Source organism: Homo sapiens, chromosome 14 (genome assembly GCF_000001405.40).
Source record: "Homo sapiens chromosome 14, GRCh38.p14 Primary Assembly".
In the NCBI taxonomy this organism is placed as follows: Eukaryota; Metazoa; Chordata; class Mammalia; order Primates; family Hominidae; genus Homo; species Homo sapiens.
In genome coordinates, this window is record NC_000014.9 from 66,965,802 (window position 1) to 66,990,290 (window position 24,489).

General features: G+C 33.3%; 1 protein-coding gene across 23 annotated transcripts in view, besides 1 other annotated feature; it reads left to right on the forward strand.

Annotated features, from left to right (window-relative positions):
• The window catches only part of GPHN (gephyrin), a 1,227,209-nt gene that overhangs the window by 457,655 nt on the left and 745,065 nt on the right, over positions 1-24,489 (forward strand). For 7 of the 23 annotated variants that reach the window (XM_017020913.3, XM_011536343.4, NM_001377514.1 and 4 more), the window contains one exon: positions 19,881-19,937. The exons of 4 other annotated variants lie outside the window; for them this stretch is intronic. In XM_017020913.3, the coding sequence (XP_016876402.1) occupies positions 19,881-19,937 (57 nt within the window). 12 more of the 23 variants (XM_047430879.1, XM_011536340.4, XM_011536344.4 and 9 more) reach the window with 5 other exon arrangements.
• Positions 2,309-2,478: an enhancer, noted in NCBI's record as "experimental_36038 CRE fragment used in MPRA reporter constructs". NCBI's record gives its function as "activates a minimal promoter by MPRAs in K562 erythroleukemia cells, with activity observed for both the introgressed and non-introgressed 14:67434912 variant alleles {active_cell/tissue: K562}" and the evidence as "EXISTENCE:reporter gene assay evidence [ECO:0000049][PMID:34662402]".

The window sequence follows — 24,489 nt, forward strand, 5'->3', positions numbered from 1 at the left end:
TATTTGCAAACAAATCTAAATTTATTAGAAAGAAAGTTTTAATGCCAACCTTTGGGAAGAGGGTAGAAGTTTCTTAGTCTTTTTTTTTATAATCTGTCACTGAATTGTATAGGGTGAGGAAAGGATGAGACACTTATATGCTGTTCACATCTTTGTATACATGATAAATTAACTAGCAGACATTATTACTGCTGTGACTACTTTCTCCTGGAATGCTCCTTGCCTGATTAAGTTAGTCATTTGTGCTTTCAAGTTCTCTATGTGATGGATGCAATATTGGTATCAAAAGATTAACAGTAACATTCCTTATTATTTAATAAGACATGATGTTAGACACTAAATTTGTTTTAGGATTCTGACAGTTAATTTTTCAAATTATAGTTTTTTCTCTGTCATCAAATTTAAGGACCTGTATAGCTGTCTTCCTCAATTCCATCTTTTCTATCAGTTTTGTGAATGTTATAATTTAATTTGACTAGAAGGGATCTCAGTTTCTGATGTGAATAGTGCAGTTTGTTTTACATTACTTGTTACAATCTTCTCAGCAATGTTTCCAGTGTTACTGTTGTATATCATTATTTTTAGATATATGTCAAAAAAACTGATATTAATTTTATCATTTAAAAAACTGAGGTCCTGAATCTTCAATAAAGATAAACTATAAGAACATTGTAGACATTAAATGTATGCCAGTGCCATTTGGGTGCCAGTAAGCTACATTTTCAAATGCATAAAAGCAAGGAATTCTTAAAACCTGAATTAGATGGAAGAATCTCATCTATATCTTTTATATTATTAAAACAAAGTAACTTACAGTTTGACTGCATTAAAATCCAGTTGTACCAGCTAAACTCACTTGTAAAGTCTAGAAAATATTTAAAACTAAAAGTTAAGTTCACTATAAGATGTTTTGTTCACTGAATATTAAGACCTAAAAGTTGGGAATTCAGAACTATTCAAGGCATAGTTGCTTTTCCTTAATAATATGCTGAAATCATAAATATTTTTTGAAAATATTTTATGCTAAATTTAATTATACATAGTAGTTCTTGAGTATTTTTATAACTTTGTAATTATATTTTAGTTACAAAGAGGATATTAAATAAAATTTGAAAAATCACTTGGTACTTCCAAATTCACCAAAGTAAAATTCTGAAAAATAATAATGTTAATATTCGTCAAATTAATTTGCTTATTGCAGAACTTTAGGAGAGCAAGTGGCTTGTCTTGATATTTTTTCCTTAGTTAACACTTAGATGTTCAAATTGACAGTGAATTCATAAAAGCATTATATCTTTTTCTAGGAATAAGATTATATTTCTTTTGAATAATTTTGATCAGCACTAGAATGTATACCTCAAAGATAAAGTTATCACTCTGGTGTAATTTTTAATATACACTTGAAATGCTGAATTAGAATATTAATATAATAAAAGAAACTAGTTTGAATGTTGATATTTTAAAAGGAGTTAGTCTATTCCAATTAGGCATCTGGAAATAACGTTTAAAAAATAAATTAAAGGACAGAAGGAAGTGAAATTTGTCTTTCTAGTAAGAAAGGTCTCATAAATCATAAGACTGCTTAAGAGAATCTAAACTAGGTGCTTTTATAAGTGCTTTAATATCAGTGACAAATATACTCCTTGTCTTCATGGAGTTTACAATTTAGTCATATATTACAGGTTGAGTATCCCTAATCCAAATGCTTGGGACCAGAAGTGTTTCAGATTTCAGATTTTTTCAGATTTTGGAATATTTGCAGATACTTAAACCAGTTGAACATCCCTAATCAGAAATCCAAAATACTCCAGTGAACATTTCCTTTGTGCTAAAAAAGTCTCAGATTTCAGATTTTCAGATAGGGATGCTCAACATGTAAAATAAACAGGTAGATAATAACTTTAATAATTATAATTTCATATTAATTTAATAATTATAATTTAAATACAATGCATGCTAAGAAGAAATGAAAATGTTATGGTAGTAGAAAATAATAGCAGGGGAACTTCATTTAGATAGGGTGAGTAGAGAAGACCTAACATTTCACCAGGGGCGTGAAGAATGAATGAAAACCAAATGTGAGCTTTTGTGCTATGTGGAGGTTTTAGGAATTATATTGATCAATAATGACCACTTTAAAGGCAGGTGTCACCAATCAAGAACTCTTACACTAAAACTTCATTAGTATGTGAATAGTCTAATTCAGTGATGTCAACAGCCAATTTCAAATATCTGTTCTTTTTTATTTAAAATAATGAATCTTTTTGCCTTTCCCCACTGAGTCAAATATCAAGACCATAGATTTTAGCACCGAGCTCTGTTTAATAAAAAATTAAAATTTATTTTAATTTTTTAGCATAAAAATTTGGGGCCGAGAAGTCCAAAAGCAATTTCGGGGTTTCAAATTTGAGATACTGGGTAGACAATAATGTTATTAACTATACCAAGGAATAAAAGAGAAGTACCAAGTCTTGAGGGTAAAAGAAAAGAGTTTAATGCATCTTGATTGGGAATGTGTTTAATCTGAGGCATATGTGAGACAACCAAGGAGTGATATCCAGCACAAAATTGGAAATACAATTTGAGTTTGAAATTCTTATTTTTACTGCATCTTGGTTATGATATTTATAACTTAGTACATATTAGTGTTAGCCAAATCCCATAGAAATCCTTTCTACATTTCAAATTCGGCATGCACAGATTTTCATGCACAGAAATGTATGTGCAAACGTATTTTGTCTACATCAGAAATACAATATAGTTTTGAATGATCGGTACTAGAAAGAGCACTTGACTTGATAATAGAAGATCTGGATGGAAATGCTTTTTTCTCTACCTCATAACCACAGTAAATTAAGCAAGTTACTTAACTTTACTGAGTTTTGTGTCTATTATTTGACTGACCATCCTTACCTCTACAACAGTGTTTATTAACTCATTAAATAAGTCTTTGCCTGGTAGTAGAATAGCAACAGTGAGCAAGTAGACATTGTTCCAACTTCTACAAATAGATCAGACAACTAAAAATTAAAATAAAGCATAATAAATTCTAGAATTGATTATCAAGAATACATAATATTATGGAAATAGCTACCAGAAGCACTTAACCAATATATAGATATATTGCAGTATAACATCCTAAATTATATATTGACCGTTTAAGATTCTCCAGCTATAGTGAGAACAAAATCTATAAAACTATACCAGGTCTTGATTTCTTTTTGTTTTTTTTGGTACCCTCATTACAACCTAATGAAGATAACCATGTATTATCTTTTCTTAACAATTCTTCATAGATTATATTTTCTCCAGCAAATTTGTTTGCTGAAATTATATCGTATATAGGGAAAAGTCATTTCTCTTTTATATCATATATTTTCTTTTAATGAAATCTGACTGAAATGAGGAATAATTTTCACTCCTCTTGCTTTATGACAGTGAAGTATCTTTCAAGAACAAAGTTGGGATATTTGACTTTCATTGTCCTGAGTAAAATAGTGCCTAAGTCAAATAGTACATAAATTATATTTAAAGAAGTATAGACAATATCTAGACTCAAGTTCTAAAATAATGATAGTCTTCTAAAAATGATTTGCTGGAAGAATAATTCTGTAATTGATAAATTCTCTTTTAAAGTGAGCATGATTCATAGCTTAGATGAGTGCTGATTTTCAATTATGAAGGACAGCAGCATCTCTATTTAGAAATAAAATCAAGGCCGGGCACAGTGGCTCACGCCTGTAATCCCAGCACTTTGGAAGGCTAAGGCCAGTGGATTGCTTGAGGACAGGAGTTCGAGACCTGCCTGGCCATCATGGCAAAACCCCATCTCTACTAAAAATACAAAAAATTAGCCGGGTGTGGTGGCACATGCCTGTAATCCCAGCTTCTTGGGAGGCTGAGGTGTGAGAATTGCTTGAAGCTGGGAGGCAGAGGTTGCAGTGAAATGAGATCAAGCCACTGCAGTCCATCCTGGGCAACAGAACAAAACTCTCTCTCCAGGAAAAAAAAAAAAAAAGAAAGAAAGGAAAAGAAATCAAGAAGCTTAAGGCAGAAAATAATGATTACAGCAAAAAATAAAAATTTTTCAAACTTTCAATTTACCATTCATTTTAGATGTTATTAAAATGAAGAATATTTTTAAACACTAATTTTATTATCGTTTTATTCCCTAAACATCTGAAGTTTGATTTTGAGTAAGTAAATATAGTCTATAGTCACATATGTTCCTGTACCTTAAAAGTTAGCAAAGAATTTTGTGCTTAGAATAACCAGCAAGTTGTGTTTTTTTTTTTTTTTTTTGCTCTTAGGAAGAAAATATAAATACTATCAATATCTAATTGAAGTTATCAATATCTAAAGTTTATACAACAATTAAAATGTAGATGTATTGAAATATCTTTATATGAGGGATATATACCTTTAATCCACTAATGTCTAATACTATATTCAAACAAAATATGTAATTATTACTTCTTTGTAGGTTTCTCTTACTGTCCTTTGAGCAAAAGAATTTAGATTGCTCTGGTTAAGTTATATTCTTAACTCAGGGTTTTTAATGTATGAGTCTGAAAGGCAGTGTGAATTCCTTTACCTATAAAAATGGCACTGCTGATTCTATATCAGCATAATATTTTCTCTGGGATGTTTTCCTAGTAGTGTTAGTTTTTACAAAGTATTGAATATTGTCACTATTTTCCTTTGTGAACACCAGGGTGATTATGTGATATGGCTAGGTCATTGGCTAAACCTGGGTTCCCAAGTCTCTGGAGAAGCTCATAAAATGGCCATACTTCCAGCCTAAATCAAGTCACTAACTGGTGACGGCAAATTATTTTTTTCCTATTTTTAAGAGCCTAACCAAAATCAATAAGACTATACTAGACATCAAGCTTCTTTGCTTTTGCTGAAATTATATCAACATTGGTATGACAATATGTTCAGCTATTAATGACATTATAGAAATAGATTCTACACATACCGTCAACACACAACAAAAAGGTTGGAAACCAGTGAATTAGTGAGATCAAAAATACATTCTCTGAACAAAAATATGTTTTCTTTTGTGAACATTTACCTCATCTGGGGGGTGTTGAGCAATAATATTCTCTGCATTATTGGTTAGATCCAGCATTTCTCAAACATACTGGTCTCCAGACCCCTTCATGCTTTTAACAATTATTAAGGACCCCAAATTACTTCTGTTTATGTGGGTTATATCTAACAATATTTGTTGTACTAGGAATTCTGAGGGCCAGGCATGGTGGCTGTAATCCCATCACTTTGGGAGGCCAAGGCAGGTGGATCATCTGAGGTAGGGAGTTCAAGACCAGCCTGACCAATGTGGAAAAACCCTGTCTCTACCAAAAATACAGAATTAGCCAGGCGCGTTGGCACATGCCTGTAATCCCAGGTACTCAGGAGGCTGAGGCAGGAGATTCGCTTGAACACGGGAGGCGGAGATTGCTGTGAGCCAAGATCATGCCATTACACTCCAGCCTGGGCAACGAGAACGAAACTCCATCTAGCTAGAAATAAAAATAGTAAAGCCTTTACATGTTAACATAAACAACATATTTTATGAAAAAATAAGTATATTTTCCACAACCAAAGAAAATCTGAAAATAATGGCATTGTTTTACATTTTTTCAAATATATGTTAATATCTCGCTTAATAGAAAATAGCTGGATTCTCACATTTGCTTCTGTATTAAGTCTTGTAATATGTTGTTCTGATTGAAGAATAAACAAATTGAGCCTCATATAGATATATAGTTAGAAAAGGAAGGACTATATTGTTCACATTTTTTTATAATTGTGGATGTTCTTTGATACCATACCAAAAATTTACAATTTTTAGTTTAGTAAAGGTTAGTTGAAATGTTGAATCTAAAACCCTGGCTAGGACCATTCCATACTCACACCTTAAAATCCATTGGTCTGTCTTGCACTTCAAATGGATCTTTTACCCAGGCATGATTTTGGAACACATATATTGGTCATTTGGAAAATATAAATTCTTCCAAAAGTTGACATATTTTGTTATATTATATCAAAAAGTCACCTTCATTAATATAATCACCAAGCTCATCTAAAAAGTCTGGAATGTACTGGAAGCTCTTAAGCTCATAGTGGCACATAGACATTTTCTAAGTTCTAATTTATGCTTTGAAGCTAGAAATTGGGCTGGGCGTGGTGGCTCACATCTGTAATCGTAGCACTTTGGGAGGCTGAGGCAGGCGGGTCACTTGAGGTCAGGAGTTCGAGACCAGCCTGGCCAACATGGTAAAACCCTGTCTGTACTGAAAACACAAAAATTAGCCAGGTGTGGTGGTACATGCCTGTAGTCCCAGCTGCTTGGGAGGCTGAGGCAGGAGAATCACTTGAACCCAAGAGGTGGAGGCTGCAGTGAGCCGAGATTGCACCATTGCACTCCAGCCGGGGCAAAAGAGCAAGAGTCTGTCTCAAAAAAAAAAAAAAAAAGAAAGAAAAAAAAGAAAAAAGCTAGAAATAGTATTACTGGCAAAAAAGCAACAAATAGTTTTTTCTTAAATTGACAGACTTTGTTTATTTTTGAGAAAATGTATACCAAACATCTAAGTCTGAATAATAATAATTTATTAGTTATTTCATTCTTTCAAGTAAAAATGGTATTCTGTATTAAAAACTAGCTATTCAGCTTACAACTCAAACAATTGCATAAATAAGTGATTTTCCTTGAGACAACCACCATCCTTTGGTATGCAGAAGTATTTTGTTCATACGCCCCATTTTGTCACATTCAAGGCTCAAGTTTTAATTAATTTAATTTTCCCATTTTGTCACATTCAAGGGCCAAGTTTTAATTAATTTTAATTAATTAAATTTAATTTAACTAATATTAAATAGTAAATTTAATGTGTATTAATATTGTCATATAATATTGTAATTACTCATGTAAATGTAAATATTACATTGAGGATATAGTAAATATTAAATTTACTATGTCATTGAGGACAGTATTTCAAACTAGCTTTTTTAAAAAGAAAAACAGAAGATGGCAGTGAATAGAACAGTGATTGTTCATACTACTTGGATCTACTGCCTTAATTTATACTAGGATGTCAATCCACCATTGATTTTGTACCATCAGTGCAAATGTCAACGTAGCCAAAAAGGCAAATAATGTCTGAGTACTATTACTAAAATAATTTTGACTTTGTCAAGCCCTGAAAGGGTCTCCAGGACCCTCATGGGTTTGTGGATCAACTTAAAGAACCATTGATAAAATCAAATGAGCAAACTGGCTTATGTTTCTTGAAAATATTCTGGATGAAAATGATGGCTATTGAATCCTTTATATATATATTTTTTTTCCATAGAAGCAGTATTATAGTGGTATACTCAGTCCAAGAGATCTGATCCAATGACTACCGGTACCATGGTTAAGCATTATAAATAGTTTACCTGTCCTCTGTGATCCAGGTTAATCCTAGGGCAGGGAACACCTACACCTCTCTGATTCCAATGACAGACTTCATTAAATTTTTGAAGATATAAGACCAGAAGTTATAATTCCCAGCTAACTCCATTCATTTTCAATGTGGTATTACTTCTGCACTTGGATAATAACTAATTTTCCCCAGGATATTCTGTCTACTAATAGATAACATACAAAGCCCTCTTTTAAGAAATAGGCCAGACGTGGTGGCTCACACCTGTAATTCCAGCACTTTGGAACGCCAAGGCGGGTGGATCACCTGATGTCAGGATTTAAGACCAGCTTGGTCAACATGCTGAAACCCTGTCTCTACTAAAAATACAAAAATTTAGCTGGGCGTGGTGGTGGGCGCCTGTAATCCCAGCTACTCGGGAGGCTGAGGCAGGAGAATCGCTTGAACCCGAGAGGCGGAGGTTGCAGTGAGCTGAGCTCACGCCACTGCCGTCTAGACTGGTGACAGAGCAAGACTCTGTCTCAAAAAACAAAAAAAGAAAAGAAAAAAAGAAATAACCTGGTTGTTGGCAGATAATTCTATTGAGTATATAACTGGGGATAGCTCATTTTTGAAATCAGTTTAGAACATTTAAAATGTGGGAAATTCAAATAAAAATGCAAATTTTCACTGTTTTCTAAAAAGTCAGATCAACATTGCTGGCCCACCACTGATATAATACTCTATATCAATACTCAGCTAATATTCTTTAGACCCTCCAGACTATTTTACTCACTTACATTAAATGCCTGACTCCTATGGACATTTAAGTAACTGATTTCTGCCCTAATTCTCTGTTATCTAATTTCTCCTCCCTTATAACATGTTTGTTTGGGGATTTATTCTCATTTGTTAGCGAAGCAGAATTTTGAGACTTCAAATAAAAGACAATTCCTTTACACCCTTTTCTAATGAGAAAGGCACTACCTAGTATGGGAAAGAATTTAATATTTTGATGAAACTAAAATTACACAATAAAGCATTTTAACTATTTTTGGTCTATAACTTATTTTCAATAGTTTTCCTCTGATGTTCTGCTGGGTATGTAGGATTTTACCTCGATTTTTCTTTTTTCGTTCATGCAAGTGTCCCCTTTGTTTTTCATTATAATTATCATTATAATGATAATTGAAAATGAAACTTCCCCATCTATTTCTAATTATTTAATGGTCACAGAGCTATGTTTATTACTGAAGCTAAATGTAACAACTATGAAATGTATAATTGCCACTCTGAAGTCTAAACTTGCAAATGAAATTTGATATCTGAGAAGATATAGCAAACCAAAAATTGCTAACTGTAGAATTAACATTTTATAGCTAAGACAGACTGTAAGTGGTATAGTTTCTGTATAGTTTCTTTTTTGTTTAAAAAAAATGTACTTACTCATTTGGAAAAAATTTTTAAAATTCACATAAAAAAGTTCTTATAAAATACCCTTCATAAATAACCACTGTTAAAATTTTGCTATGTATCATTCTCTTATGTTTTTCTATGCATTTAAATTCTTATCATACCAAGAAGGCAGTGATTAAGAGCTCAGTTTCTGGAGTCTGACAGGCCTGATGATGAATCACTTAATACATGTGTGGCTTTCAAAAAGTTACTTCACCTCTATAACCTTAATTATCTCATCTGTAAAATGAAAAATAATGATACTATTTGCTTCATAGGGTTGTCTTAAGAATTTAAGTTAAAAATGTATATAAATCACAGCACAATGATTAAAATATAAGTACTCATTAAACAGTAGCCATTATTATTAAATTGTCTATAGCTTTTAACCTATCTTGCTTACTTAGTAATATGAGCATCTTTCTATGTCATGAACATCTTTATATGTTGTAAATTACCTTCTACAATATTACTTGGATTTTTGATATTCTAATTGATAGATGTGACATAGTTTTTTCACCAACCCGTATTTTGGATATTTTTGTTGTGTCTTATTTTCTAGTTTTAAAAACAATGCTGTAGATAATCTTTCAGAAGTTAAAGGTTTTGGAGTCATCTCTTAATCAAACTCAGTAACTTCTGTTATTTCTACTTTTATTGAAAGTATATGCAGAACTTTTAGGTCTAAGATTTCTATATTTTACATTGACAGCAGGAATAGATCATTTTTATGTCTTCATGAGTTTAATGATATATTGGAAGAAGCAGTTTTTAGCATTTGCATTTGACTGATTTACTGGCAGACATTTAAAAACTATAAACCCAAAGTCGTCTGAAAAGCTAACAAGCTTGAGTGTGTAAAAATATTATACTGCGAGGCACAGCATATTGAGTACCAGCCCTAGGCTACCATATTATAACTTTATGAGGGCTGGGCACAGTGGCTCATGCCTATAATCCCAGCACTTTGGGAGGCCAAGGAGGGAGGATCACTGAAGCCCAGGAGTTCAGGACCAGCCTGGGCAACATAGTGAGACCCTGTCTCTACAAAAAAAAAAAAAATTTAATTAGCTGGGCATGGTGGTAAGTGCCTATAGTGCCAGCTACTCAGGAGAATCACTTGAACCCAGGCGGTTAAGGCTGCAGTGAGCTGTGATGATGCCACTGCACTCCCAGCCTGGGTGACAAAGCAAGGCTCTGTCTCAAAAAATAATAAATAAATAAAACTATGAGGACTAGTTGACCTCAGTTTCTGTTATTTGTAACACCAAGATATTAAATAACCTCTAAAGTCCCTTGTAGGCTTATAATTCTTTTCTTTTGAAATAGTTCCAGTATCAACTAAAAAATATTTTTAAGCCCTTCTCTCTCTGATATTTTATTAATCTCCAATTAATACAGAATAATTTACATGTGTTTATCTTTTGCATTCTGTTCTAGTACATAAAGTACTAGAGACAGAGATTATTAACAGAAAATGTTCTAACTTCACTTAAGATCTTTTACATTTAGGTAAAGCTTGTCTCTGTTAAATGAAATATTGATTTCTCTCGATATCCACTCTAGTTTTGTTCAAGTTATGAGAAGATAGGGAAGTGAACTGTTGAAATACAAGAAATTGTGAAATTAAGAATACTAGCATTCAGTATAATTAAATAGCTTTGATTCATTTCAACTGTTTTTAATTGTTTGGGACATATTTTGTATAAAACAGCCCAACAAATATAAGTGGTCCGTCCTATCATTATTTCAGCAACAAAATTTGTTAGATATTGGCATGATTTAGAGCTATTTAATATCCCATTTTGACTTTAATATAGAGTACATCCCATAGTAAACTATCCTCTGGATCTTCATATCTTACAAGGATACATATTCTAAAATTAGGTATTTTCTGGCCCAAAATTTCAGGATTATCTCCCTACTCATTCTACTTTTGTTAAAGAGAAAACACAGAGTAATTCAGAAATTCATTGAATATTTCAGTGAATATTTTTAAATGCATATTATATGTCAAATACTGTATTAGCTATTGGGGATACAGCAATGAATAGACATTTTAACCCTGTTCTTAAGGAGCTTATAGTGGTAATATGTGAAAATAAAATATTTACAAGAAATCTACCATATACAGGGTTGACAACCTCAAAGAGCTCTTCTAATCCAGTAGGAAAAAGTAAAAAAAGGATGAGTAAAAGGTAAGCATAGTCATTTAATAAAATAAATACATGCAGCACAGAAATATGTGGGGGGGGGGGGAGTACACTCTCACTAGAAATCTACTAAAAATTTAAAACAACACAAATTTTGCAATCAAATTGATGACTATTTAAAAACTATAATCATCAGTACTGTAATGAGCAATGACATGAGTATTTCTTTTCAGACTAATAGGAATATAACCTTTCAAGCAATAAATTCGTATAACCTTTCATACACATGTGTTGTATACCTGTGTTCTCTACTTAAAAAGTATATACAGGCCGGGCGCGGTGGCTCATGCCTGTAATCCCAGTACTTTGGGAGGCCGAGGCGGATGGATCACGAGGCCAGGAGATCGAGACCATCCTGACTAACACGGAGAAACCCTGTCTCTGCTAAAAATACAAAAAATTAGCTGGGCATGGTGGTGGGCGCCTGTAGTCCCAGCTACTTGGAAGGCTGAGGCAGGAGAATCACTTGAACCCGGGAGGCGGAGGTTGCAGTGAGCCAAGATCGCGCCATTGCACTCCAGCCTGGGTGACAGAGCGAGACCCCATCTCAAAAAAAAAAAATTATGTTTTAATCAGTCATTTTGTCTCTAGAAATGTATCCAAAATAAATTATTAAAGAGGCCATCTCAAACTATGTACAGGAATTTTTATCACAGCATTATTTATATTTGTGAAAAATTAGAAATAATTTTAATGTGTATGGAAAATAACTTGTATTAATAGTACACACATATATAAGTTATTCTATAACCTTAAAAATCATCTCATTAAGAATATTTAATGACATGAGAAAATGCTGAAACTACAATGTATAGTTTAAAAATTAGTAAACAATACTGTGTAGGAATAGAATAGCAAATTATTTCACAATATACATTATTTTTAAAACCAGGAAAATATACATATCTGTTTGGTTTTTGTTTGTGTATTTTTTAGATAGGATCTGGTAATTACACGGATGTCCTTTGGCCTATTTTTCAGATTTGTAGCCAAACTTAATAAAGCCAACTAGAGTTATTTATACCTATATTTACAGGCATACCTTGGAGATATTGTAGGTTCAGTTGCAGACCACTGCAATAAAGCAAAAATTGCAATAAAGTGAGTCACACAAATTTTTCGGTATCCCAGTACCTGTAAAAATTATGTTTATACTCTCCTGTAGTCTATTAAGTGTGAAAAGGATTATGTCTAAAAAAACACACTGTGCATACCTTAATTAAAAAATACGTTAGTCCTAAACCGTTATTACAATCATCTGAGCCATCAGCAGGTCATAATCTTTTTGCTGGTAGAGGGTCTTGCCTCAATGCTGATGGCTGCTGACTGATCAGGGTAGTGGCTGCTGAAGGCTGGTGTGGCTGTGGCAATTTCTTAAAATCAGACAAGTTTGCCAGATCGATTGACCCTTCCTTTCACAAGAGATTTTGCTGTAGAATGCAATGTTGTTTGAATGCATTTTTTCTACAGTGAAACTTCCTTCAAAATTGGAGTCAATCCTCTCAAACCCTGCTGCTGCTTAATCAAGTTTATTTATGTAAAATCATTTGTTGTAATTCCAACAAAGTTCACAGCATCTTTACCAGGAGTAGATTTCATCTCAAGGAACTCCTTTCTTTGTTCCTTCATAAGAAGAAACTTGTCATCTGTGAAAGTTTTATCATGAGTATCACAGTAATTCAGTCGCAACTTCAGGCTCCCCTTCTAATTGTAGTTCTTTTGCTATTTCTACCACATCTGCAGTTCTTTCTCCTCCACCGAAGTCTTCAACTCCTAAACATCCATATGGTTGGAATCAACTTCTTCCAACTCCTATTAATGTTGATATTCTGGGCTCCCATGAACCAAAAATGTTCTGAATGGCATCTAAAATAATGAATTATTTCTGGATGGTTTTCAATTTACTTTGCTCAGATCAATTATAGGAATTACTATATGGCAACTGTATAGCCTTACGAAATCTATTTTTAAAATAATAACATTTGAATGTTGAAATTACTTCTTGATCTGTAGGGTGAAGAGTGGATGTTGTATTAGCAGGCATGAAAACATTATCTCCTTGTATATCCCAATCAGAGCTCTTGGATGACTAGGTACAATGTCAATGAATACTTATATTTTGAAAGGAATCTTTTTGTCTAAGCAGTGGATTTAACATATTTAGTAAACCATGCTGCAAAAAGATGTGCTGTCATCTAGGCTTTCTTGTTCCATTTGTAGAGCACAGGCAGGGTAGATTTTGCATAATTCTTAAAGGCCATAGTACTTCCAGAATGGTCACTAATCATCGGCTTCCACTTAAAGTCAGCAGCTGCATTATTCCCTACCAAGATAGTCATCCAGTCCTTTTAAGTTTTAAAGCCAGGCTTTAACTTCACCTCTCTAGCAATGAAAGTCCTAGATGACATCTGCTTCCATTTATATAAGGCTGTTTTATCTACACTGAAAATCTGTTGTTTAGTATAGCTGCCTTCATCAAGGATTTTAGCTAGATTTTCTGGGTAACTTGCTGCAGCTTCTACAGCAGCACTTGCTGCTTCACATTGCTCTTATGTTATAGAGACATCTTCTTTCCTTAGACCTCATGAGCCAACCTCAGCTAGCTTTCAACTTTTCTTCTGCAGTTTCCTCACCTTACTCAGCATTCATAGACTTGAAGAAAGTTACAGCCTTGGTCTGGATTTGGCTTTGGCTTTAAGGACTGTTGTGACTGGTTTGGTCTTCTATCCAGATCACTCAGACTTTCTCCATATTAGCAATAAGGCTGTTTCACTTTCTTCTCATTCATATGTTCACTGGCGTACCACTTTAAATTTCCTTCCAGAACTTTTCCTTTGCATTTACAACTCAGCTGTTTGACACAAGTAGCCTAGCTTTCTGGCTGTGTCAGCGTTCAGCATGCCTTCCTCACTAAACTTAGTCATTTCTAGCTTTTGATTTAAAGTGGTAGACATGCAACTATTCCTTCTACTTGAACTCTTAGAGGCCACTGTAGGTTTATTAATTGGCCTAATTTCAATATTATTATGTCTCAGGGAATAGAGAGGCCAGCCCACAGAGAGGTAGAAAGACAAGGAATGGTCAGTCTGTGTAGCAGTCAGGGCACACACAGCATTTATCAGTTCAGTTCACTATCTTACATGGGCACCATTTGTGGTACCTCAAAACAATTGCAAAAGTAGCATCAAAGATCGCTGATCATAGACAACCATAACAGATATAATCATAGTAAAAAGTTTGAAATATTGTAAGAATTATCAAAATGTGACACAGAGACAGGAAGTGAGCACTTGCTGTTGGAAAATTGGTGACGATAGATTCGCTTAACACAGGGTAGCCACAGACAAACCTTGAACTTGTAAAAAATGCAATTATCCATGAAGCACGGTAAAACGAGGTATGCCTGTATACCACAGCATTTTTACATCCAGGCTAAGCCAGTCTCTTCTTAATCCTGCTGGATAGAAAATTTTATCATATTTCAGTGAAAGTTCAAAGATAAACTTTTTTTTGGTCTCATGTGCAAATAATAAAAAAAATTAAGAACATATAATGTGCTGCCTAAAGGTTATTTATTTTAACCCACATAATAACTCTTTTATTAAAGATGGGTTTTATAATTTCTTTTTAGACAGATAAGAAATTTGGAAAAAATAATTTCAGTTTAATTATTCTCTAGTTAGTGAACAGGAAATAATTTATATAAAGGTCTAATTTTATATAGATTAGATTTAAAGGTCTAATTTTGTATAGATTATACTGTCTTGGAATTAAAACTATATAGAACTTTAAGATCAAAATTATAAATGTGTAATAAAATATAAATAAATAAATGCAAATGTTAATATATCATTAGACATCAGAACCTTTAAAAAAGATGATTTCCTGGCTGGGTGCAGTGGCTTACACCTGTAATCTCAGCACTTTGGGAGGCCAAGGCAGGAGTATCACCTGAGGTCGGGAGTTTGAGACCAGCCTGACCAACATGGAGAAACCTTGTCTCTATTAAAAACACAAAATTAGCTGGGTGTGTGGTGCATGCCTGTAATCCCAGCTACTCGGGAGGCTGAGGCAGGAGAATCACTTGAACCCGGGAGGCAGAGGTTGCGGTGAGCCGAGATTGCGCCATTACATTCCAGCCTGGGCAACAAGAGTGAAACTCCGTCTCAAAAGAAAAAGATTTCCTAAGGATAAAAATATGGCAGAGGGGTTTAGAGGATCTGTAACTTGCCACCATGATTCTAACTTTTGACTTCTCACTTCTTACTCTTTGCAACTTTCCTTGACCTTTTTTATCCTTTTATTAGTTTAGTTTTATAATTGTATTTCCTTTCCTCCAGAAACACATTAGCAATTATTTTTCCTTGACACATTTGTATATTAATCACCTCTCTTTCATTTCTTTCTTCCTTCCTTTATACTTATCTTAATAAATCACAAATTAAAATGTTCTATGATGAGGCACCAGCTTTACTGAAAGGGCTGAATAATATAATATTATAGTGAAGTGAAATATTAACTTAATTCCAAAAGTACTTTGTTATTTATAGGAATTTGTTTAAATGTTGAGCTCTTAAGCAAAACTTTAAAAAAAAAATCTCTTTCTCCAAATCATAGCTACCAGAAACGATCTATAGCTGCCCCAATATATACTGAGTGATACTGGTTGGAAAATAATTTCTAAGAAAAAAGTTTTATTTCTTTTCATTGATAATCATAATTTTTTTAAAAAGCCATGATATGGTATAATAAGGTTAAAAATATTAGTCTCAGAATAGTTCTGAAGGTAAACTAGATCTAAAAATAAAATGGCCAACTCCTTAGCACAAACAAACAGAAAGAAATGTTGGTTTAATCTATGTAATTTTATTCTAAACTGATACAAAATGTATTATGGAGAGAAGGGGAGAAGGTCTACATTCGTTATTCCATAGGTAAGAGACTAAATTTAATTAAACAACCTGAGAGTCAGAAGGTAATATCAGCTGTACTTTCATATTATTTATTGATGCATTCAGAAAGCCACTGAACTTCTCCAGACCTTGGTTCCCTTATCAGTAAAAGAAACACACAAAATATACAACATTTTCTAAAACATTTTCACTAAACATTTTGTAACTAAAGAAAAATATGAATGTATATACCCAGTGATATGTGAGTGTACCTTAATGCAGTTATCATAAGCCTGAAATTTCTTTGAAGTTTTGTATTTTATTTTAAAAATTAATATCAAGTTGATTTTTAAGCTATGAAATATATGTTTGGTTTAATTAAAATACTACATTTACAATTATTTTTGGCAAGAGAAGTGAGGGTGGGGCTAGATAGTTTTCTACCTTGTTAATGGTAGAAATCGTTTTCAGTGAGCTCAGTTTTGGGAAACTGAGCTAAATCAAAGGGAATCAACATCACATATTAGTTTAGGATCCAGGCAATTTCTTTTGTTGCATAATATTACTAGAATCCAAATTCTTGGAAAAAAAAGTAAATAGAAATGTCAAAGTCATTTTACTACAGGCCAGATCCTGGTAATTAATCACTGAGGATAGTTTCCCCAGTAATTAATCCCTGAGGAAAGATTCCCAGAATGTTGCAAAAGAGGTAATACAGTGCAACATTTTCAGAATATTTCTAAGGAATACTTTGTTAAATATATTCTAGTTGAGAGACTGAATAGAAGATTGAAGTATTTTGGATCCCATGGATAATATCTTTTAACATCTTGGTAAAATACTTGTCAAAAGATTTCTTCATGATTAATGATGACATTTTTTGTTTTGCTCCTAAATTTTGATTATCAATATATATAAGTAAACTAGTAATCTCAATTTACTCCACAATCCTCACAATTATTTACATTCAATTCTCAGACTTTGTTTATAATGCCGTGATAGTACAATATAAACATTTACAGTTTAACCTCTCTTAGCTACTGATAGTGTTTTGCCTTTAGAAAAGTATGAATAAAAATAGCTAATGATGTGAAGCTCTTATTATTAAGAATAGTAAAGTCATTCATCTTATCTGAATGCTAATCTTTTGTGATTTCTTTTAAATTCTTATCTAAAATGTAATAATCAAGCATTTGGCCGGGCACGGTGGCTCACGCCTGTAATCCTGGCACTTTTGGGAGGCCGAGGCAGGCGGATCACATAAGGTCAGGAGTTCAAGAGCAGCCTGGCCAACATGGTGAAACCCTGTCTCTACTAAAAATATAAAAATTAGCCAGGTGCAGTGGTGTGCACCTGTAATCTCAGCTATTCAGGAGGCTGAGGCCGGAGAATTGCTTGAACCCAGGAGGCAGAGGTTGCGGTGAGCTGAGATCATGCCACTGCACTCCAGCCTGGATGACAGAGCCAGACTCCATCTCAAAAAAATAATAATAATAATCAAGCATTTGGATTAGCTGTGAATTTCTTTTATGTATACTACCCCACTATAACTGATGATTAATGGAGGACTAAAATAAATAAGGACATTACATTTTAAATCTACTGATTTCACTTTTCTCTATTTCTCAAATTCTAGTTTATATAGACATCCTTTTCAAATTCTTTCTGAAGTTTTTCAGTATTAGGTATTATTGTTACCTGTTTCAGAAGCTGCAAAAAAATCACATGAAACTTGAATTGTAGCCAGATGAAACTTGAATTGTAGCCATTTCTGGCTTTGAAAAACACCTTGGCTTTCTAAGGTTTTCCTCTTATGATGGTTTCAAAGACAGGCTTGTTTATAGAAATTTGAAATCAAGCATTGATGAGTGGTTTGCTCCCAAAGTCTCTATATAAATCAGTCTTATAATCTAGTTTTTACATTCAGAGTTTAGTGGTAACTGTCTTTTTTTCTTCTTATAATTCATTGTTTAAGTTTCTATACTTGCATTTGGAACTGAAATGGTACAGGAAAAATGTCTTCCATATATATAGTAACGTAAAATTTCTTCCACAGATGGAGAGAGACAGACAGACATAGTACATATACATACACATTCTGTTATAAGCATTAATTTTTTTCCATCCCATATATTTTCAGGCCTGCTAAGGGAATGCTACTTTAAACTAGAAATTAGGGACTGTTGATTTCGTTCTTAGATTTGTCATCAACTTCCAGTGTAACCTTGAAAAAGATACCTAATGTTGCTGAGCTTAATGTAATTTTAAGCCTTCTGGAAATAAAAGACAACATAGAAAATGGTGTTCACTTATTACTGTGTAAGTTCAGAACATCTTCACAGTTTCTGAAAATTTTCAGAAAGCCTCATGAGGCATCAGACTCTTATATTTTTATAGGAATCTACCAACTCTACCTTTATAATCTAGATATTGTGAATCTGCATTTAAGATGGAAAACAGCTTTTGATATAAAGACCTCAGAAATCAAAGAAAACAGCACAAGAGGATGAGCAGATATTATGAACTCACTCTGAATTCACTCCATAGGGAGCCCCTCTCTTATAGGTGCTGATGTTCTAGTTAGTATCCATTGTTTCTAAATTTGACAATTCTGTTCCACTAAGAATAGTAAGAATTGGTGATTATCTTTTGGCCATAACATTTAGTTAATGCTGAAAAATTAGTAAAACTTGTTTATATCCAGTAGAGCCAAAAGTTGATGCAACTCTTATATAGCAATATGCTTTTATTCAAAACGAAAATTCCATTTTCTCAATATGATTATTCCTCAGCAATTTCCATATGCTATCAGAGATCTTCTAAAAGGGATAAGACAATATATATCCTGCTTCCAGGAAATAAAATTTTATAGGATGTTCAGGTTTCTATTATTTCTTGAAGACTTTAACTGGGAACTTTTGGCATCACACTGATATTTCTGCTATCTCCTAATATAAGCAGGAACATCACAGCTAACTTGACCTATGCTGGTCTGAATTGAGACCTCATTCTGGAATCCATAGTGTAAAACCACTTAGTCTGAAGCTTCCTATCCCCTTTGCTCTTCACCCTGCCGTTTTTTTTTTATTGCCTCCCTCTTTATCCAAAACATTAGTTCTCATTAGAGCTCTATTTAAAAAGTACCTCCTCTAATAAAACATTTTGTGTTGAGAAACTTCCCTTGCTCATTTATGCAGTAATGTGAAATGAGTTATTTTAAAAAAAAAGTTTTACTTTTCATTTCCCGTCTTACCCAAGATAGCAAATTTTCCAAGAGGAAAATTCAGCTAAAATAACTGAAAGCTTTGAGGCAGTAAATATATCTAACATTGGTCTGGCATTAAAATTTTCTGGTTGGGCAGCACAATTGTTTAATTGGGAATCTCAGTGACAGCTGAACAACCTCAATGCTTGGGTCAGCAAGCAGAGGAGCTTCACTCTGTCACCTATCAAGAATGATGCTTGTCAGGACTGATCTTTCCACCTACAGAGCATTCATGTTTCTAGTCATACCATTTATGTTTTCTAATATTACAATGGAATAGACACTAAAACACTAAGAGAGAAAAGTACATAGGTATATTTGTAATTCTTTGTTTTTTGTAAGCCAAATGCAAATGTAACACTACTCCAGATACTGCTTCATCAGAAGTCCCCAAGATAACCAAAAGTAAGTGCCAATTTCCTCATCTCAGGGATAGTGCCATAACAAAGACTGAATTCTAGGGACCAGCCTATTTGCAGAGCATGTCATACAGCCTCTGGGTTAGTTAACTCCTTGGCCTCCTAAGAGCTACCACAGAGAGTCAATTGATGTTTTTGCATGTATTACTTACTAATGTATAGAAAAATTTTTAAGTTCACTTTTTCTTTATTCTGTCTTTCTTACCCATCTTCCCTCATTGTAGCAAATTAGACGGCCGGATGAAAGCAAAGGAGTTGCTAGTAGAGTTGGATCCCTCAAAGTAAATATGTTTCTAACATTTTTTGGCAAGATTTCGTCTATAGCCTACACTTCTTCCTTTTTGGAGGGTGGTGGGAGGAAGGGGGCTTTTTCCATTTTTCACCATCCCATTTTTTTTATTTTAATATTTTTATTGGCTGTTGGGTCATATTACTTTTTTTTTGTTTCAGCTACACATAGAGCAACCAGCTGAAGGCAAGCTGCCAAATAACTAGCTTTGAATGGCACCACAAACAACAGAAAGGGCAACTGCCTCATTACAGGTGCCTATAATTTGGGGTTCTAGAATAAACCGTTCCTCTGATTGATGTCACTGTGTGTTAAGTTCCTGTTACACAGAGAACTAACATTTATTTTCAGAATATTATCTCCCCTTTTAGCTTTTTTTTGTAAAAAAAATAATTTTAATGTTATTTTGGTATCATCACCATTTATAGTTCATTTCAGAGAAAAGTTATTATGAGTTAACAATATGTATTCAATACACATAATCTTAAGAAATTGAAAGAAAGAAATTTTATGTCATGTAGTATAATGGGCCCACATATAGCTGATAGTAGTTATGCCCTCTTAATCCCCTCTGTTTTATTTTTTAAATTTCAAAAAACTGATACAACAATCAACAGAACCAGATACATACCTAAATGTTTGTCCATTTGTGTATATAACCTGCTAATATACAATTGAAAGATTTCTAATTTGATCATCTTGTTTGCTAGTTGCTAAATATTTATTTGCTCAATATGCCTTGGGCACTCAGTACTCAAACATTTAATCATAATGAAAAGGTAAATAAGTTATCACTCTTATGAAACACAGACCAATCACATTTAATGCTGCCACCTTAAATGCAAGTTAGAAAATTTGCTGAATTCTAAAAATATGCAGAAGAATTACCTCACAAAAGTAATTATTTTCTTATATCTCAATCTCATTTGCCCTAACAGCAATAGTAACTGTTAAATTAATCAAAATGCTAGAAAATTCAGTGCACTGGGATGTCCTAAAATTTAATGACTACCTTGAGGCCTAATATTCAATCATTTCAAAATTTTGCACACCTCCAATTTATTTCCATTTTACAATTTATGAAATACTAATTTCTGCACTCTTTCCTCTCCTTGCCTCTTCTGCCTTCTTAGCTTTACTTTTTTGTTATTGTTTATTTGTTTGTGTGTGCGCACGCACATGAGTGCACATGGATGAAGGTGTGTTTGTATGTTTGTGTCCTTTATTTCAGAAAAGCCATCCTCTCTGTTCTCTAACACTGCTTTATAGTGGATAGCTATTTTATTAAAATGTTATTTCACCAAGGATAAGAAGAGGGGATGGGAAGTGTTAATAGTGTGCCTATTTCAAAAACTAGGCAATTTAAGATTATTCAGTCAGAAAAATGTGAGTTTGTGTATCCTGATGATATATCAGTAGCATTCCTCACTGTCTATCTGTGAGGTATCATATTTTATCTTTGTCTTTAAAGGAAGATAAATCCATTAATGGTTTAAACTATGGATTATGACTCAAATTCAGGTGAGAAGGTACAGAACGACATGACTTTTTGAAAATTACTGAAGGTGAAATAAAGATAAAAATGGCATCCATAACTGTAGCACCATGTACTGTAAACTGGATTGTATGTGCGAGTGCGCGTGCGTGCAGTTATCTCCGAGTTCAACTTCTGGATGTATAGAACTTCAAGTTATAAATGTATGTTTATTGTTTTTAAGTGTATATACAATATGAGTATGTATATACACATATATATGTTTAAGAACAAAAGATACGTTTTATAATTAAATCAGTTTATATTAATATGGATGCAGTCTTGAATCAAAAAGTGTGTTTGGGAAAGAAAGTCAAATTTCATAATATTTAAATATCTTTACTCCATGTTTCTACAAAATAGAAAATGTCAAAGTGAATCTCTAGGGGATTTATAAGGATGGTTATAGTATTTATTTTCTCTAATGCTTTGGGGAGAAAAGATGCTGTAATTAATCAAAATAAAATGTTGACTTCCTAGTCACGGGTTTGTTGAGCATGCATTCTTACGTTATAGAAAGACCTTTGATGTTTGAAATGTTTGCCAAAGGCAGTGAGAAATGTATAATGCTATGATCTTATTTTTAAAAGGAAAAAGGAAAACCGAAAAGAGAACAAGTTGCTTTTTCAATTCATTTTCTGATGTTTACATGTAGCTCCATCGAAAGCTGGAGGAGCTCAGAGATCACCTAGAAGGCAATGTGAAAGGATACTCTCTCAGAGTAAATGTACGATTTCACTTGGTGATTTTTTTTTCCCTAAACTTCTGCTGACTGGTAACTCCAAATCTGATTGGTTTGTCCTCTCATCTCCATCTTTTTCCTTTCTGTCTCTTTTCCCCCTCTTTCTTTCTTTTCTAGCTGCGGCTTCATGCTCCCATTTATGAAATAAAGATTAAATTAGCAGGGTAGAGGACCCTAAAGCCACACTGACTAACATTGCTGTTGACTTAATAATATTTTGGCCCCAGTGCAAAATAAAATCTTTCTTTTCAAAAATCACTATTTCTTATACAATTGTATACTTTTTTGAGGATCTTGTCATGAGACTTCATTTGGAGATTTTTCTATTGGTCATGTCTTCTACCCCTTGTTAGTTATGTCAGCAGAATAATAAATTATGAGCTGGATGTGAGGGGTATATCCTTGATGGTACAATTTCAATTTTCAAGGAAAATAATCAGTGTTAGGGTATCATAGGTAATCTGGCAAGTAGACACATTTGTTCTGAGTTAATAGACTTAACTCAGACTCTTTTAGAATAAATGTATGTCATTTTGTTTAAAAATAAGAAAATTAGCAGTAAGTACCTTCACCAGGAACACCTTCACGTAGCATCTTACAAATACTTGAGCTAAAGTCTAATATACCCAAGACAACCATTGAAGGAGGACAGTACCTCGTATCCACTCAATCCTGTACATTCATCATATAGTCAGAATTCATGATAGTATTTTTTGTGACAGATAGTTCAGACTATCAAGATTTTCAAGAAAAATCTCTAAATTGGTTTTGGTATAAATGTAGCAGAAGAAAAACTAAATTACTACAGTAATTTATGGCTTTCATTTCTGGGGTTTCCAAGAAAGTTCCTGTGAATCCTGGTATCCGATTTACTTCTCACAAGGTTATTACCATTCATTTAATTCACACAGCTGTAATAGTTTTGTTATAAAAACTAGAATTAAAGTTAGGGATATGATAATTATCTTATTTCTCAGCTTGTTTTTAATTGTATACCACACATAGTCATGTGTATCTCTACGCTAAATTTCTGATTATTGAAATACAAAGTGATTTTTATTAATAAGTTGTTAATTCTAATAACTAAACAGAAGGAATTAATACACGTGTCTCATATCTCTACTTCTTCCTTTGAGCTACTCTTTGTTTTCTGCACATATTCTTATAGAATTTTGAAAACCATCCATAATCACTCCCCAAAACCTATTTTGTCATTTTTTTTAAAAAAAAGATTAGTATGGATTTTATGATTAAATCAGTCTGGACATACCTAATTATTCTAGAAACCCATAAAAATATTTTAATATGTGTATTTTAGTCTTGTGCTCTTTCCTAATCAGTCATGAGAAGTAATTTTTCTTTTCAATGAAACTGAGACCAAAAAGTTGAGACTTGCTGATTTCTGTATGGTAATAAGTTAGTAAGAGACCAACATCAAATTTAAAATTTGATGCCTTAAAAATTAGGTTATCTCATGCCATTATTTAATTTCTTTTTTCAACACCTGTACTACTATATAATGATTAATCTCATTTTATTTCACTGAGAAACACTTTGTTCTGATTACCTTGTTTCTAAAAATATTAAATATAAGGTGTATCTGTCTAAGGATCCTGTTAACTGTCCAATATAGAAAAAAAAAAAAAAAAAACCTATCCAAAGGCAAGTAGTATCTTCTCTAGAGAGTTCAGCTAAGGAAACATGCAAATCAATTGCTTAGCTGAATTTTCAGTTTCTCTCCTTACCCTTTAATTCCTACTACCCAAGTATACCTTAAAGTGCCTTGAATATTAAAAATTGATGCTAAAAAGAAAAAGTTATTCTCAGAACCATAGACTATATTAGACAGGTTTTGTTTCTAAAATGAAGTAAATTGGCATTCGGTGATGATTTTGTTTCATGAAAATTTATTGTAGGTGTACACACACAAGAACAAGTGTATTAGTCCATTTCCACATTGCCATAAAGATACTACCTGAGACTGGGTAATTTATAAAGAAAAAAGGTCCAATTGACTCACAGTTCCACATGGTTTGAGAGGCCTCAGGAAACTTACAATCATGGCGGAAGGTGAAGGGGAAACAAGGTACGTTGTATATGGCGGCAGGAGGGGAGAGAGCACAGGGAAAACTGCCACTTTTAAAACCATCAGATCTAGTGAGAACTCCCTCACTATTTACAAGAACAGCATGGAGAAAACCACCTCCATGATCCTATCACCTTCCACCAGGTTCCTCCCTTGACATGTGGAGATTACAATTCGAGATG